We start from the raw sequence: 15,803 nt of genomic DNA, 5'->3' as shown, positions 1-15,803 counted from the left end.
TTGTGAACATAACAATAGCCACATACTTGTGTGGAAGTAAACAGATACTTGACCAAAAGAAGGATCTTTCAACCACATAACTACAAATGGGAAAGAAAGCCTAACATGAGAGATCTGCTTTTACAGCGTGCCCACTGCTTCACCCACCCCTAGACATCTCCTGCTCAGAGAGGCTCTGTCTTAGAAATACCCAGGATCCCACTGGAGCTGTGAACACTGGTCAGCAATCCTATGCTATATCTGATACAGGAGAAAATCCAAAAAAGGAAGTGTTGAGAGAAGTGTTTTTTCTTTCCTCACCTCTGCATTCTATAAAGGACTGAAATGTGCAGATTTCTTGATGCTGTTCCCACACTGATAAATGACAATACAATAGTGCTTAAATCATTATTCCTGAAGTTTCTCATCATAAACTTTTCCCTCCACCGCATGGTAGGGCTCTGCAGAAATCATACAACTGAGGATTGCTTGGACCCAGGAGTTCAAGGCTGCAGTGAGCTGTGATTGTACCATTGTACCCCAGCCTGGGTGACAGAGTGAGATGTTGTCTAAAAAAAATCATGTAACTGCCCTTAATTTCCTTTTCTATAAAATGAAAAGAGTAATAAGAGGCTCTTGCTCATGTAATAGAATATTTTATACACATTTAAGAAATAGTCATTTAAGAAATGAACCCTATGGGCAGACAGTTCTTAAGACCCATAAATATCACATTATTCTTGATACCCATAATATTAAATGAAAGAAAATGATTTTTCTTTTCACTTCTTGAAGAAAAAAGTAATAAAAAAAAAAAAAGTTGATATGCCCTGACAATGATCAGAAGGCACTCAAAAAAATTGGTCTCTGAGAATTGGTATTAGGGCAAAAATAAAACAGACAATTAATGAGTGGGTAGTTTGTCAGAGGGTTGAGTAGGCAATATAAGTGCTAATATTAGAGGGATGTGGCTAATTCCATGTGCCTCCAGAAAAAGGAAACTGCACTGGGGTTTGGTCATTGAAGAAGAAACTGTTTTTAACAGTTGTGTCATGCCTCATTTTATAGTTCATTAAAAAAAAAAAAAAAGCTCTAAGACCAGCCTGGCCAGCATGGTGAAACCTCGTCTCTACTAAAAATACAAAAATTAGCCTGGCATGGTGGCAGGCGCCTGTAATCCCAGCTACTCGGGAAGCTGAGGCAGGAGAATCGCTTGAACCCGGGAGGCGGAGGTTGCAGCGAGCCGAGATGGCGCCACTGCGCTCCAGCAAAAAAAAAAAAAAATAGTAAAATAAAAATAAATAAATAAAACAAACCCTCAAGCTTAAAATAAGTGAAGACTCCGGAATAAAAATCTCCATATGAATAAGCATTCAACCCTGTACAGAAACAAAAACCTTCAATGACCTGAGTCCCATCTTCTCGCTAAAGGAGAGTTTTCCAGAGGTCCGGCAGAGGAGATGTGGCCAAGCTTCATCTGGGCGCAGGTGCAGCCGCGCTTCCACAGGGAAAGAACAATGTCTGGAGTGAGCCAGCACTGGTTTGGTGAACCCCATGGCGACTGCCAGTCGTTTGCAGGCTTTTGTCTATTCTTTGTGTACTGTTTGACTCAGCTTGAGCCAAAATAATCAGCAGCTAAAGCTGGAGCCTACCTTTTTGCAGAGAGCACAGTGTTTGATGTTTCTGGACATTTTTGCAACGTGTAACCCCTACCCTGAGCTCCTGCTGCCTTACTAGCACTTCCACATGAAAGTACAAGACTCTAAAACGGTACCTTCTACACACTATATTCCCATTTATGAGGCAAGCAGACAACGTTTTCTGACAGCTGGCTGTCCATCTGGTGTTTGATGTGTGGCAGAAAAGCACCATGGGGTAATAAGGGAGATGGATGTTTTTCTGAGGTGGCAACTCAGTGTTCCTGACTGCAGACTCCCTTGGGCTTCCTGCCCTTCTGCCCTGCATGCTGCCTCTTTGCACAGGATGGTAAGTTTCCTCTTCTTGCTGTAGTACAGGTAAACTATTTCTAGTCACCTACCTGGCTTTTCATTTATTTGCAATTTCTTGATCACAACAAACATTTCAACTACTTTGTTATGGTGGTGTCAGCATGAATGCATTGGAACTGGTAAAGGTTTTTTTTTTTTGAGACGGAGTCTCACTCTGTCACCCAGGCTGGAGTGCCGTGGCGCCATCTCAGCTCACTGCAACCTCTACCTCCTGGATTCAAGTGATTCTCCTACCTTAGCCTCCTGAGTAGCTGGGACTACAGGCGTGCGCCACCACCCCTGGCTAATTTTTGTATTTTTAGTACAGATGGAGTTTCACCACATTGGCCAGGCTGGTCTCGAACTCCTGACCTCAAGTGATCCACCTGCCTTGGCCTCCCAAAGTGCTGGGATTACAGGCGTGAGCCACACTGCACCCAGCCTGGTAAAGGTTTTTTAAACAGCCTTCTTTCTTTTTTAACTTTTATTGTTGCCTGAAATTCTTTATTTTTATTTGTTTGTAAATGTTTTCTAGCCTATCTGTTCCAGAAAACTAGGAGAAATATTTATGCTAGACATAAAGCTATAATCTTGCAAACAGGCTGAAAATAACTTTTTTAAAACTTAGATAATCTTCAGTTTGCTATGACCGAAGTTTAAAAATAGTTTTATATCTGCCTATATATTTCTATATTATGGATATTTAGTTTAAGAATTGTTTGGACAGATGTTTTTTGAGACAACTACATTTACAAAGATTGTACTTGGTGTCTACAAAAAAGCTTTTGCGAGCTTCCGGCGGGGAGGAGCCAAGATGGCCGAATAGGAACAGCTCCAGTCTACAGCGCCCAGCGTGAGCGACGCAGAAGACGGGTGATTTCTGCCATTTCCATCTGAGGTACCGGGTTCATCTCACTAGGAAGTGCCAGAGAGTGGGCACAGGTCAGTGGGTGCACGCACCGTGCGCGAGCCAAAGCAGGGCGAGGCACTGCCTCACTTGGGAAGCGCAAGGGGTCAGGGAGTTCCCTTTCCGAGTCAAAAAAAGGGGTGACAGACGGCACCGGGAAAATCGGGTCACTCCCACCCGAATACTGCGCTTTTCCGACGGGCTTAAAAAACGGCCCACCAGGAGATTACATCCAACACCTGGCTCGGAGGGTCCTATGCCCACGGAGTCTCGCTGATTGCTAGCACAGCAGTCTGAGATCAAACTGCAAGGCGGCAGCAAGGCTGGGGGAGGGGCGCCCGCCATTGCCCAGGCTTGATTAGGTAAACAAAGCAGCAGGGAAGCGCGAACTGGGTGGAGCCCACCACAGCTCAAGGAGGCCTGCCTGCCTCTGTAGGCTCCACCTCTGGGGGCAGGGCACAGACAAACAAAAAGATAGCAGTAACCTCTGCAGACTTAAATGTCCCTGTCTGACAGCTCTGAAGAGAGCAGTGGTTCTCCCAGCACGCAGCTGGAGATCTGAGAACGGGCAGACTGCCTCCTCAAGTGGGTCCCTGACCCCTGACCCCCGAGCAGCCTAACTGGCAGGCACCCCCCAGCAGGGGCAGACTGACACCTCACAGGGCCCAGGACCCCAACAGACCTGCAGCTGAGGGTCCTGTCTGTTAGAAGGAAAACTAACAAACAGAAAGGACATCCACACCAAAAACCCATCTGTACATCACCATCATCAAAGACCAAAAGTAGATAAAACCACAAAGATGGGGAAAAAACAGAACAGAAAAACTGGAAACTCTAAAAAGCAGAGCGCCTCTCCTCCTCCAAAGGAACGCAGTTCCTCACCAGCAACGGAACAAAGCTGGATGGAGAATGACTTTGACGAGCTGAGAGAAGAAGGCTTCAGATGATCAAATTACTCCGAGCTACGGGAGGACATTCAAACCAAAGGCAAAGAAGTTGAAAACTTTGAAAAAAATTTAGAAGAATGTATAACTAGAATAACCAATACAGAGAAGTGCTTAAAGGAGCTGATGGAGCTGAAAACCAAGGCTCGAGAACTACGTGAAGAATGCAGAAGCCTCAGGAGCCGGTGCGATCAACTGGAAGAAAGGTAATCAGCGATGGAAGATGAAATGAATGAAATGAAGCGAGAAGGGAAGTTTAGAGAAAAAAGAATAAAAAGAAAGGAGCAAAGCCTCCAAGAAATACGGGACTATGTGAAAAGACCAAATCTACGTCTGATTGGTGTACCTGAAAGTGACGGGGAGAATGGAACCAAGTTGGAAAACACTCTGCAGGATATTATCCAGGAGAACTTCCCCAATCTAGCAAGGCAGGCCAACATTCAGATTCAGGAAATACAGAGAATGCCACAAAGATACTCCTCAAGAAGAGCAACTCCAAGACACATAATTGTCAGATTCACCAAAGTTGAAATGAAGGAAAAAATGTTAAGGGAAGCCAGAGAGAAAGGTCGGGTTACCCTCAAAGGGAAGGCCATCAGACTAATAGTGGATCTCTCCGCAGAAACTCCACAAGCCAGAAGAGAGTGGGGGCCAATATTCAACATTCTCAAAGAAAAGAATTTTCAACCCAGAATTTCATATCCAGCCAAACTAAGCTTCATAAGTGAAGGAGAAATAAAATACTTTACAGACAAGCAAATGCTGAGAGATTTTGTCACCACCAGGCCTGCCCTAAAAGAGCTGCTGAAGGAAGCGCTAAACATGGAAAGGAACAACTGGTACCAGCCACTGCAAAATCATGCCAAAATGTAAAGACCATCCAGACTAGGAAGAAACTGCATCAACTAATGAGCAAAATAACCAGCTAACATCATAATGACAGGATCAAATTCACACATAACAATATTAACTTTAAATGTAAATGGACTAAATTCTTCAATTAAAAGACACAGACTGGCGAATTGGATAAAGTGTCAAGACCCATCAGTGTGCTGTATTCAGGAAACCCATCTCACGTGCAGAGACACACACAGGCTCAAAATAAAAGGATGGAGGAAGATCTACCAAGCAAATGGAAAACAAAAAAAGGCAGGGGTTGCAATCCTAGTCTCTGATAAAACAGACTTTAAACCAACAAAGATCAAAAGAGACAAAGAAGGCCATTACATAATGGTAAAGGGATCAATTCAACAAGAGAGCTAGCTATCCTAAATATATATGCACCCAACACAGGAGCACCTAGATTCATAAAGCAAGTCCTTAGTGACCTACAAAGAGACTTAGACTCCCACACAATAATAATGGGAGACTTTAACACCCCACTGTCAACATTAGACAGATCGACGAGACAGAAAGTCAACAAGGATACCCAGGAATTGAACTCAGCTCTGCACCAAGCAGACCTAATAGACATCTACAGAACTCTCCACCCCAAATCAACAGAATATACATTTTTTTTCAGCACCACACCACACCTATTCCAAAACTGACCACATACTTGGAAGTAAAGCTCTCCTCAGCAAATGTAAAAGAACAGAAATTATAACAAACTATCTCTCAGACCACAGTGCAATCAAACTAGAACTCAGGATTAAGAATCTCACTCAAAACCGCTCAACTACATGGAAACTGAACAACCTGCTCCTGAATGACTACTGGGTACATAACGAAATGAAGGCAGAAATAAAGACGTTCTTTGAAACCAGCGAGAACAAAGACACAACATACCAGAATCTCTGGGACGCATTCAAAGCAGTGTGTAGAGGGAAATTTATAGCACTAAATGCCCACAAGAGAAAGCAGGAAAGATCTAAAATTGACACCCTAACATCACAATTAAAAGAACTAGAAAAGCAAGAGCAAACACATTCAAAAGCTAGCAGAAGGCAAGAAATAACTAAAATCAGAGCAGAACTGAAGGAAATAGAGACACAAAAAACCCTTCAAAAAATTAATGAATCCAGGAGCTGGTTTTTTGAAAGGATCAACAAAATTGATAGACCGCTAGCAAGACTAATAAAGAAGAAAAGAGAGAAGAATCAAATAGATGCAATAAAAAATGATAAAGGGGATATCACTACTGATCCCACAGAAATACAAACTACCATCAGAGAATACTACAAACACCTCTATGCAAATAAACTAGAAAATCTAGAAGAAATGGATAAATTCCTCGACACATACACTCTCCCAAGACTAAACCAGGAAGATGTTGACTCTCTGAATAGACCAATAACAGGATCTGAAATCGTGGCAATAATCAATAGCTTACCAACCAAAAAGAGTCAAGGACCAGATGGATTCACAGCTGAATTCTACCAGAGGTACAAGGAGGAACTGGTACCATTCCTTCTGAAACTATTGCAATCAACAGAAAAAGAGGGAATCCTCCCTAACTCATTTTATGAGGCCGGCATCATCCTGATACCAAAGCCAGGCAGAGACCCAACCAAAAAAGAGAATTTTAGACCAATATCCTTGATGAACATTGATGCAAAAATCCTCAATAAAATACTGGCAAACCGAATACAACAGCACATCAAAAAGCTTATCCACCATGATCAAGTGGGCTTCATCCCTGGGATTCAAGGCTGGTTCAATATACACAAATCAATAAATGTAATCCAGCATATAAACAGAACCAAAGACAAAAACCACATGATTATCTCAATAGATACAGAAAAGGCCTTTGACAAAATTCAACAACCCTTCATGCTAAAAACTCTCAATCAATTAGGTATTGATGGGACGTATTTCAAAATAATAAGAGCTATCTATGACAAACCCACAGCCAATATCATACTGAATGGGCAAAAACTGGAAGCATTCCCTTTGAAAACTGGCACAAGACAGGGATGCCCTCTCTCACCACTCCTATTCAACATAGTGTTGGAAGTTCTGGCCAGGGCAATTAGGCAGGAGAAGGAAATAAAGGGTATTCAATTAGGAAAAGAGGAAGTCAAATTGTCCCTGTTTGCAGACGACACGATTGTATATCTAGAAAATCCTGTTGTCTCAGCCCAAAATCTCCTTAAGCTGATAAGCAGCTTCAGCAAAGTCTCAGGATACAAAATCAATGTACAAAAATCACAAGCATTCTTATACACCAACAACAGACAAACAGAGAGCCAAATCATGAGTGAACTCCCATTCACAATTACTTCAAAGAGAATAAAATACCTAGGAATCCAACTTACAAGGGATGTGAAGGACCTCTTCAAGGAGAACTACAAACCACTGCTCAAGGAAATAAAAGAGGATACAAACAAATGGAAGAACATTCCATGCTCATGGGTAGGAAGAATGAATATCGTGAAAATGGCCATACTGCCCAAGGTAATTTACAGATTCAATGCCATCCCCATCAAGCTACCAATGACTTTCTTCACAGAATTGGAAAAAACTACTTTAAAGTTCATATGGAACCAAAAAAGAGCCCACATCGCCAAGTCAATCCTAAGCCAAAAGAACAAAGTCGGAGGCATCACACTACCTGACTTCAAACTATACTACAAGGCTACAGTAACCAAAACAGCATGGTACTGGTACCAAAACAGAGATATAGATCAATGGAACAGAACAGAGCCCTCAGAAATAACGCCGCATATCTACAACTATCTGATCTTTGACAAACCTGAGAAAAACAAGCAATGGGGAAAGGATTCCCTATTTAATAAATGGTGCTGGGAAAACTGGCTAGCCATATGTAGAAAGCGGAAACTGGATCCCTTCCTTACACCTTATACAAAAATCAATTCAAGATGGATTAAAGACTTAAACGTTAGACCTAAAACCATAAAAACCCTAGAAGGAAACCTAGGCATTACCATTCAGGACATAGGCATGGGCAAGGACTTCATGTATCAAACACCAAAAGCAATGGCAACAAAAGACAAAATTGACAAATGGGATCTAATTAAACTAAAGAGCTTCCACACAGCAAAAGAAACTACCATCAGAGTGAACAGGCAACCTACAAAATGGGAGAAAATTTTCACAACCTACTCATCTGACAAAGGGCTAATATCCAGAATCTACAATGAACTCCAACAAATTTACAAGAAAAAAACAAACAACCCCATCAAAAAGAGGGCGAAGGACATGAACAGACACTTCTCAAAAGAAGACATTTATGCAGCCAAAAAACACATGATAAAATGCTCACCATCAGTGGCCATCAGAGAAATGCAAATCAAAACCACAATGAGATACCATCTCACACCAGTTAGAATGGCAATCATTAAAAAGTCAGGAAACAACAAGTGCTGGAGAGGATGTCGAGAAATAGGAACACTTTTACACTGTTGGTGGGACTGTAAACTAGTTCAACCATTGTGGAAGTCACTGTGGTGATTCCTCAGGGATCTAGAACTAGAAATACCATTTGACCCAGCCATCCCATTACTGGGTATATACCCAAAGGACTATAAATCATGCTGCTTTAAAGACACATGCACACATATGTCTATTGCGGCATTATTCACAATAGCAAAGACTTGGAACCAACCCAAATGTCCAACAATGATAGACTGGATTAAGAAAATGTGGCACATATACACCATGGAATACTACGCAGCCATAACAAATGATGAGTTCATGTCCTTTGTAGGGACATGGATGAAATTGGAAATCATCATTCTCAGTAAACTATCGCAAGAACAAAAAACCAAACACCACATATTCTCACTCATAGGTGGGAATTGAACAATTAGAACACGTGGACACTGGAAGGGAAACATCACACTCTGGGGACTGTTGTGGGGTGGGGGGAGGGGGGAGGGATAGCATTGGGAGATATACCTAATGCTAGATGACGAGTTAGTGGGTGCAGCACACCAGCATGGCACATGTATACATATGTAACTAATCTGCACATTGTGCACATGTACCCTAAAACTTAAAGTATAATAATAATTTAAAAAAAAAAGAAAGTCTAGTTTCCCCCCCAAAAAAAAGCTTCTGCACTTTTAATAGAAAAAAATGCTTTATACCTAACAGAATGCAAAGAACCATGAATTATTTAAATATCAGAATTTTCTGAATTGTCATATTATAGATAAAATGATTATTTTAAAATCAGCATATTTTAATGCTGATTATTTTATTAAAAATCATTTTAATAATGATTATTTTAAATCAGCAAACATACAAAAACCAATAATGTATACACCTTAAGGCAGAAAGAATTTTCAATTTTATTTTCAGTGCTACTGTGGAATCTTTAAGCAAGCATCACTTAGGACTGATTATAGACAAGCACCCCAATGCTGTCACTTTAAAGGAAAAACTCTTCTGAGTTGTGATTATCAGGAAATCCACTCGGAAAAAGATGAGCATCCCACAGAGTAGCCTGGGCTTCCTGCTTACTTAGGCCACCTCTCTGAGATCAATGAGCATTTAGCTGCAAAGATGACCCTGGTCTTCTTCCTCCAAACCCATTGTCATTTTCTCTGTTATTATTTCTCTTCACATTCTCTGCTCATTTGCATAAGAGTGAGGCCATCATGATTAGCTTTAGTCAGGAAACCTTAGGTTTACAGAAGGGAGAAAATAGCCCAGGGATGACCAAGCTCAGCCAGGTTCACCTCTTACATTGAACAACCAGTGTTTCTATGCTCTCCTGAAAAACAATGGATCCGATTTTTTTGCTGGTTGTGAGGCCAAATTGGCTGGATGTAGGTATAACTAAAGTGGAAATCCTTGCTGTGGATGCTATCAATATAGAAAAATGACTGATAATGTTAATGGTTTCAAATAAGTTAATTGAGGAGTACTTCTTGGGTACTACGGACATTGCCACTTGTTTAAAATGAAAAAGAAAATGTCTTGTCTTAAAAGATACAATTGTGGCCAGGTCAGGTAGCTCACGCCTGTAATCCCTGCACTTTGGGAGGCCAAGGTGGGTGGATCACGAGGTCAGGAGATCGAGACCATCCTGGCCACATGGTGAAACCTCGTCTTTACTAAAACACAAAAAAATTAGCCTGTCTTGGGGGTGCGCACCTGTATTCCCAGCTACTCAGGAGGCTGAAGCAGGGGAATTGCTTGAACCCAGGAGGCAGAGGTTGCAGTGAGCCGAGATTGCGCCACTGCACTCCAGCCTGGTGACAGAGCAAGACTCCATCTCAAAAAAAAAAAAAAAAAAAAAAAAAAAAAGATATAATCTTAATAAAATTTTTTCCTTTCTTCCATTCTATTCCTAAATTTAAAAGATACAATTTTTAGAGGCCTGAGTGAGACAGAAAAGGCCTGTTTTGCCTTTTGTAGATTAAAGGCAAAACAAGGAAGGGTGAACAACAAAAAGATGCCAAAATAAAATGTGTTCAGGAAGAAGCATTATAATTAGGGATTCCAAAGTATATTGCATAACTGCAATATGTAAGTGTGTTTTTTTTCAAACAAAAAGAAACGAAAGAAAAGACAAATGAATAAAGAGAAAAACATTAGTGAAAGGAAAATTTTAAAGAAATGCCTAAGCTTGGTTTTAGATGGTTTTTTATCTAAAGCATAATGTTTTAATATGGCTTTTTATTTTTATTTTTTTCTGAAATAGCCATCCTACAGGAAATTTTGCTCACTCCTGAGCTAGAGAAAGGTCAGAAAGAGCAGCAGCAGAGTCAAGAGAAAGAAGACATGGCCAGAAGTCACAGGACATAAGGACAGCCTCTGTTTCACCCTCCCCAAGGCTGAAGTAGGTCTCCATTTTGCCCTATTTTCTAGAAGTAGACACATGCTACAAAGGAATAATGAGCTTTACAGTTTGCATTGAATTTTATACACTATGGAGAATGGGGGTTACATAGCACAGATCACAGATTTTCAAAATCTGCTAGTGAGGGCTGGGTGCAGTGTCTCACACCTGTAATCCCAGCACTTTGGGAGGCCAAGGAGGGCAGATTACCTGAGGTTCTGAGTTTGAGACCAGCCTAGCCAACATGGTGAAACCCTGTCTCTACTAAAAATACAAAAATTAGCTGGGCATGGTGGCGCACGTCTGTAATCCCAGCTACTCTGGAGGTTGAGGCACAATAGTCACTTGAACTCAGGAGGCAGAGGTTGCAGTGAACCGAGATTGCACCACTGCACTCCAGCCTGGGAGACAGAGCAACACTCCATCTTGGGGATAAAAAAAAAAGGCTCTAATCTGTTTTGTTTTTTTCCCTTTCTTCCAACTGGATAATTTATATTGGTCTATCTTCAAGTTAATTGCCTTTTCTCTGTCATTGCCATTCTGCTACTGAGCTCATCTGGTGAATTTTTTATTTTAGTTCTTATATTTTTCAGTTCTAAAATTTCCATTTGGTTCTTTTTTTAATGCTTTCTACTTCTTTGCTAAGATCATCTATCCCTCTGTTCATTTCAAGAGGCTTTACCTTTGTCTCATAGAGACCAGTTATAAAAGCTGCTTTAAAATTTTTGTATTGTAATTCCAACATTTGCATAAACTTGGATGTGATGGTTAACACTGAATGTCAACTTGATTAGATTGAAGGATACAAAGTATTGATCCTGGGTGTGTCTGTAAGGGTGTTGTCAAATTAACATTTGAGTCAGTGGGCTGGGAAAGGCAGGCCCACCCTTAATTTGGGTGGGCACAATCTTATCAGCTGCCAGCGCTGCTAGAATATAAGCAGGAAGAAAAGTAACCTCCCAGCCTACATCTTTCTCCCATGCTGGATGTTTCCTGCCCTCAAACATCAAACTCCAAGTTCCTCAGTTTTGGAACTCGGACTGGCTCTCCTTGCTCCTCAGCCTGAAGGTGGCCTGTTGTGGGACCTGTGATCATGTGAGTTAATACTTAATAAACTCCCCTTTATGCATATATATCTATTCCATTAGTTCTGTCCCTCTAGAGAACCCTGACTAATACAGATTTTGGTACCAGGAATGGTTCTAGAGGAAAATAATATTAAGGATGGAGTTCTTTCATTGGTTTTGGTGTTTCTGGAGTTGGCTGCTGAATATGATTAGACCCAAAAATGCGAAGGACTCTACTTCTAATAGTATGGAGAGCACTAATAGTCCTTGGCATGAACTGTTTAGAGAGTTATGCAAAATAAATGCATTTGACACTCTTGATTCACCACTCATGAGAGGCAAAGAGTTTAGTGACTGTATACATAATACCTTTGACCATATGTGGAGAACCAAGAAACACAGTGAAGCTGGTTGATTGCTCCTAAGTCCAGTGGACAAAGTGATGGAAGAAAATGATGAACTCAGGGATTTTAACTGCCAGCTTCAGAAGCAGATACTGAGCCTGAAATCTGCCAAGATTGCCCTGAGTGAGAGTCTTATCTCCTGTAGAGAAAGAGCTGAAATTGTGGAAAAACAGACACAAGCTCTAAGCATGAGAGTGGCTGACCTGCAATGAAAGCTGAATGTACAGCCTTGCCAGGTGTCTACTGTTAAAGTGAGGGTTTGATTGGAAAAGAATGGGACCCTGCAGCTTGGAATGGGGATGTGTGGGAGGACCCTGATGAAACTGGGGACACTGAGTTTGTAAACTGTGATGAAACTTTTTTTTTTTTTTTCCAAGGCAGAAGAATTTTTCTTAGTATAGAACAAAATGAAAAGTCTCCCATGTCTACTTCTTTCCACACAGACACGGCAACCATCCGATTTCTCAATCTTTTCCCCACCTTTCCCGCCTTTCTATTCCACAAAACCGCCATTGTCATCATGGCCCGTTCTCAATGAGCTGTTGGGCACACCTCCCAGACGGGGTGGTGGCCGGGCAGAGGGGCTCCTCACTTCCCAGTAGGGGCGGCCGGGCAGAGGCGCCCCTCACCTCTGGGGTGGGGCGGCTGGCCGGGCGAGGGGCTGACCCCCCCACCTCCCTCCCGGACGGGGCAGCTGGCCGGGCGGGGGGCTGACCCCCCCACCTCCCTCCCGGATGGGGCGGCTGGCCGGGCGGGGGGCTGACCCCCCACCTCCCTCCCGGACGGGGCGGCTCCTGGGCGGGGGGCTGAACCCCCCACCTCCCTCCCGGACGGGGCGGCTGGCCGGGCAGGGGGCTGACCCCCCCACCTCCCTCCCAGACGGAGCGGCTGGCCAGGCAGAGGGGCTCCTCACTTCCCAGTAGGGGCGGCTGGGCAGAGGCGCCCCTCACCTCCTGGACGAGGCGGCTGGCCGGGCGGGGGGCTGACCCCCCCACCTCCCTCCCGGACGGGGCGGCTGGCCGGGCGGGGGGCTGACCCCCCCACCTCCCTCCCAGACGGGGCGGCTGCTGGGCGGAGACGCTCCTCACTTCCCAGACGGGGTGGCTGCCGGGCAGAGGGGCTCCTCACTTCTCAGACGGGGTGGTTGCCAGGTGGAGGGTCTCCTCCCTTCTCAGATGGGGCGGCTGGGCAGAGACGCTCCTCACCTCCCAGACGGGGTCGCAACCGGGCAGAGGCGCTCCTCACATCCCAGACGGGGCGGCGGGGCAAAGGCACTCCCCACATCTCAGACGATGGGCGGCCGGGCAGAGACGCTCCTCACTTCCTAGACAGGGTGGCGGCCGGGCAGAGGCTGCACTCTGGGCACTTTGGGAGGCCAAGGCAGGCGGCTGGGAGGTGGAGGTTGTAGCGAGCCGAGATCACGCCACTGCACTCCAGCCTGGGCACCATTGAGCACTGAGTGAACCAGACACCGTCTGCAATCCCGGCACCTCCGGAGGCCGAGGCTGGCGGATCACTCGCGGTTAGGAGCTGGAGGCCAGCCCGGCCAACACAGCGAAACCCCGTCTCCAACAAAAAAATACGAAAACCAGTCAGGCGTGGCGGCGCGCGCCTGCAATCGCAGGCACTCGGCAGGCTGAGGCAGGAGAATCAGGCAGGGAGGTTGCAGTGAGCCGAGATGGCAGCAGTACAGTCCAGCTTCGGCTCGGCATCAGAGGGAGACCGTGGAAAGAGAGGGAGAGGGAGACCGTGGGGAGAGGGAGACCGTGAGGGAGAGGGAGAGGGAGAGGGTCATTGGTAAATTTCATCATGGTTAAGATCATGACATCCAGACCCACTCTGCCTGGGTTTCAAATCCCAGTTCTGCCATTTCTCAGCTGTGTGACTTGCACAAATTACCTAACCTCTCTGTGCCTCAATTCCTAATCTGCAAAATGAGGATGATAATAGAATTTATCTTGAAGGCTTATGGGGACTTTGTGAGCTTAGAGCAGTGCCTACTACGTGGTAGATGCTGTGATTTATGTTATAATTTCTAAACCCTGATAACTCCTGATTTAATCCTGCCTCCTGGAGCACCTCCTTCTCTGACTTTCCTGCCAACTCCAAGGATGACCTCATTTTATGCATCATCAAAGTCCCTGGAAGGTAAGGGCTGCGGTCAATACCCCACAGTGCTCAGTGGGTGTTTGGGAAGAAAGAGAAGAGTCATGGAGACTCAGGGCTGACTTGGAGCATAGAAGGATCCTCTAACCACCCCCACACCTTGCACACACACAGCCTCCTTTCCTGCCTTCTCTCGATGAAACTTTTTTACCAGAACAAACAGCTTCCCCATCCCCAGTAGTGGCAGCATCCCCTCCCCGACCCATGCTGCCATCAGCCTTTCCACCTTTGTCTGAGGAGATAAAGTTTGCGCTGCCTGAGACAACAGTGATGGGCTTCCCTGAGGCAGTTTCCAGGCAAGATAATGTTGATTCTCATCAGGAGCCACCCCCAACACCCCTGTTTGCTTCTAGACATATAACTAGACTAAAGTCCTGGCAGGCCCCTAGAGGTGAGGTTGAGAGTGTGACCTATGGGGAGGTGCACTACACTCAAAAAGAACTGCTTGAGTTTTCTAATTTATATAAGCAGAAATCTGAAGAACAGGCATGGGAATGGATATTAAGGGTGTGGGATAATGGTGGAAGGAACATAGAGTTGGATCAGGCTGAATTTATTGATTTGGGCCCACTAAGTAGGGACTCTGCATTTAATGTTGCAGCTCAAGGAGTTCAAAAAAGTTCTAATAATTTATTTGCTTTGTTAGCTGAAATATGGATTAAAAGATGGCCCACTGTGAATGAGCTGGAAATGCCTGATCTCCCTTGGTTTAATGTAGAGGAAGGGATCCAAAGGCTTAGGGAGATTGGGATGGTGGAGTGGATTAGCCACTTTAGACCTACTTATCCCAGCTGAGAGGGTCCAGAAGATACACCCTTGACCAATGCCTTGCAAAACAGATTTGTGAGGGCAGCACCTGCATCTTTGAAGAGCCCTGTAATTGCTCTTCTCTGTATGTCAGATCTAACAGTGGAAACCACAGTCACTCAACTACAAAATTTAAATACAATGGGAATAATTGGATCCTGAGGTGGGAGGGGCCAAGTGGTGGCACTCAACTGTCAAAGGCAAGGTGGGCATAGCTACTGCCATAATGGACAGCAGAGGCAAAGTGGCAATCAGAATAGTCTGACTTGTATAGAGCTCTGGCACTGGTTAATTAATCACTGTGTTCCTAGAAGTGAAATTAATAGGAAACCTACTGCATTCCTACTTAATTTATACAAGCAGAAGACTTCTAGCTCAAATGGACAAAAGACTAATTTGAATTATAAAAACAGAATCATGGCCCCTCAATCAATTTCCAGACTTGAGTGAGTTTACAAACCCAAAGCCACTTGAATGAAGGGGAGGCCAGGTCCCCTTGAGGAAGGACCTCACTACATTACTGACAATTTATGCAGTAAATCTTTCTCCCATCCTTCCCCAAGGAGACCTCTGGGCTTTTAACAGAGTAACTGTGCACTGGGGAAAGGGAAATTATCAGATATTTTGGGGACTACTGGACACTGGCTCTGAGCTGACGTTGATTCCAGGGGACCCAAAATGTCATTGTGGTCCTCCAGTTAAAGTAGAGGCATATGGAGGTCAGGTAATTAATGGAGTTTTAGCTCAGGTTTGACTTACAGTGGGTCCAGTGGGTCCTGGGACTCATCCT

At 44.1% G+C, this 15,803-nt stretch overlaps 1 annotated feature.

The window, feature by feature from the left end:
• Nucleotides 2,993-3,537: an enhancer, noted in NCBI's record as "NANOG-H3K27ac-H3K4me1 hESC enhancer chr14:57810066-57810610 (GRCh37/hg19 assembly coordinates)". NCBI's record gives its function as "activates a minimal SCP1, AML or CMV promoter by ChIP-STARR-seq in primed H9 embryonic stem cells {active_cell/tissue: H9 hESC(primed)}" and the evidence as "EXISTENCE:reporter gene assay evidence [ECO:0000049][PMID:30033119]".

The sequence above is a fragment of the Homo sapiens genome, chromosome 14 (assembly GCF_000001405.40).
Source record: "Homo sapiens chromosome 14, GRCh38.p14 Primary Assembly".
Taxonomy (NCBI): Eukaryota; Metazoa; Chordata; class Mammalia; order Primates; family Hominidae; genus Homo; species Homo sapiens.
This window is presented reverse-complemented; position numbering and strand designations above follow the sequence as displayed.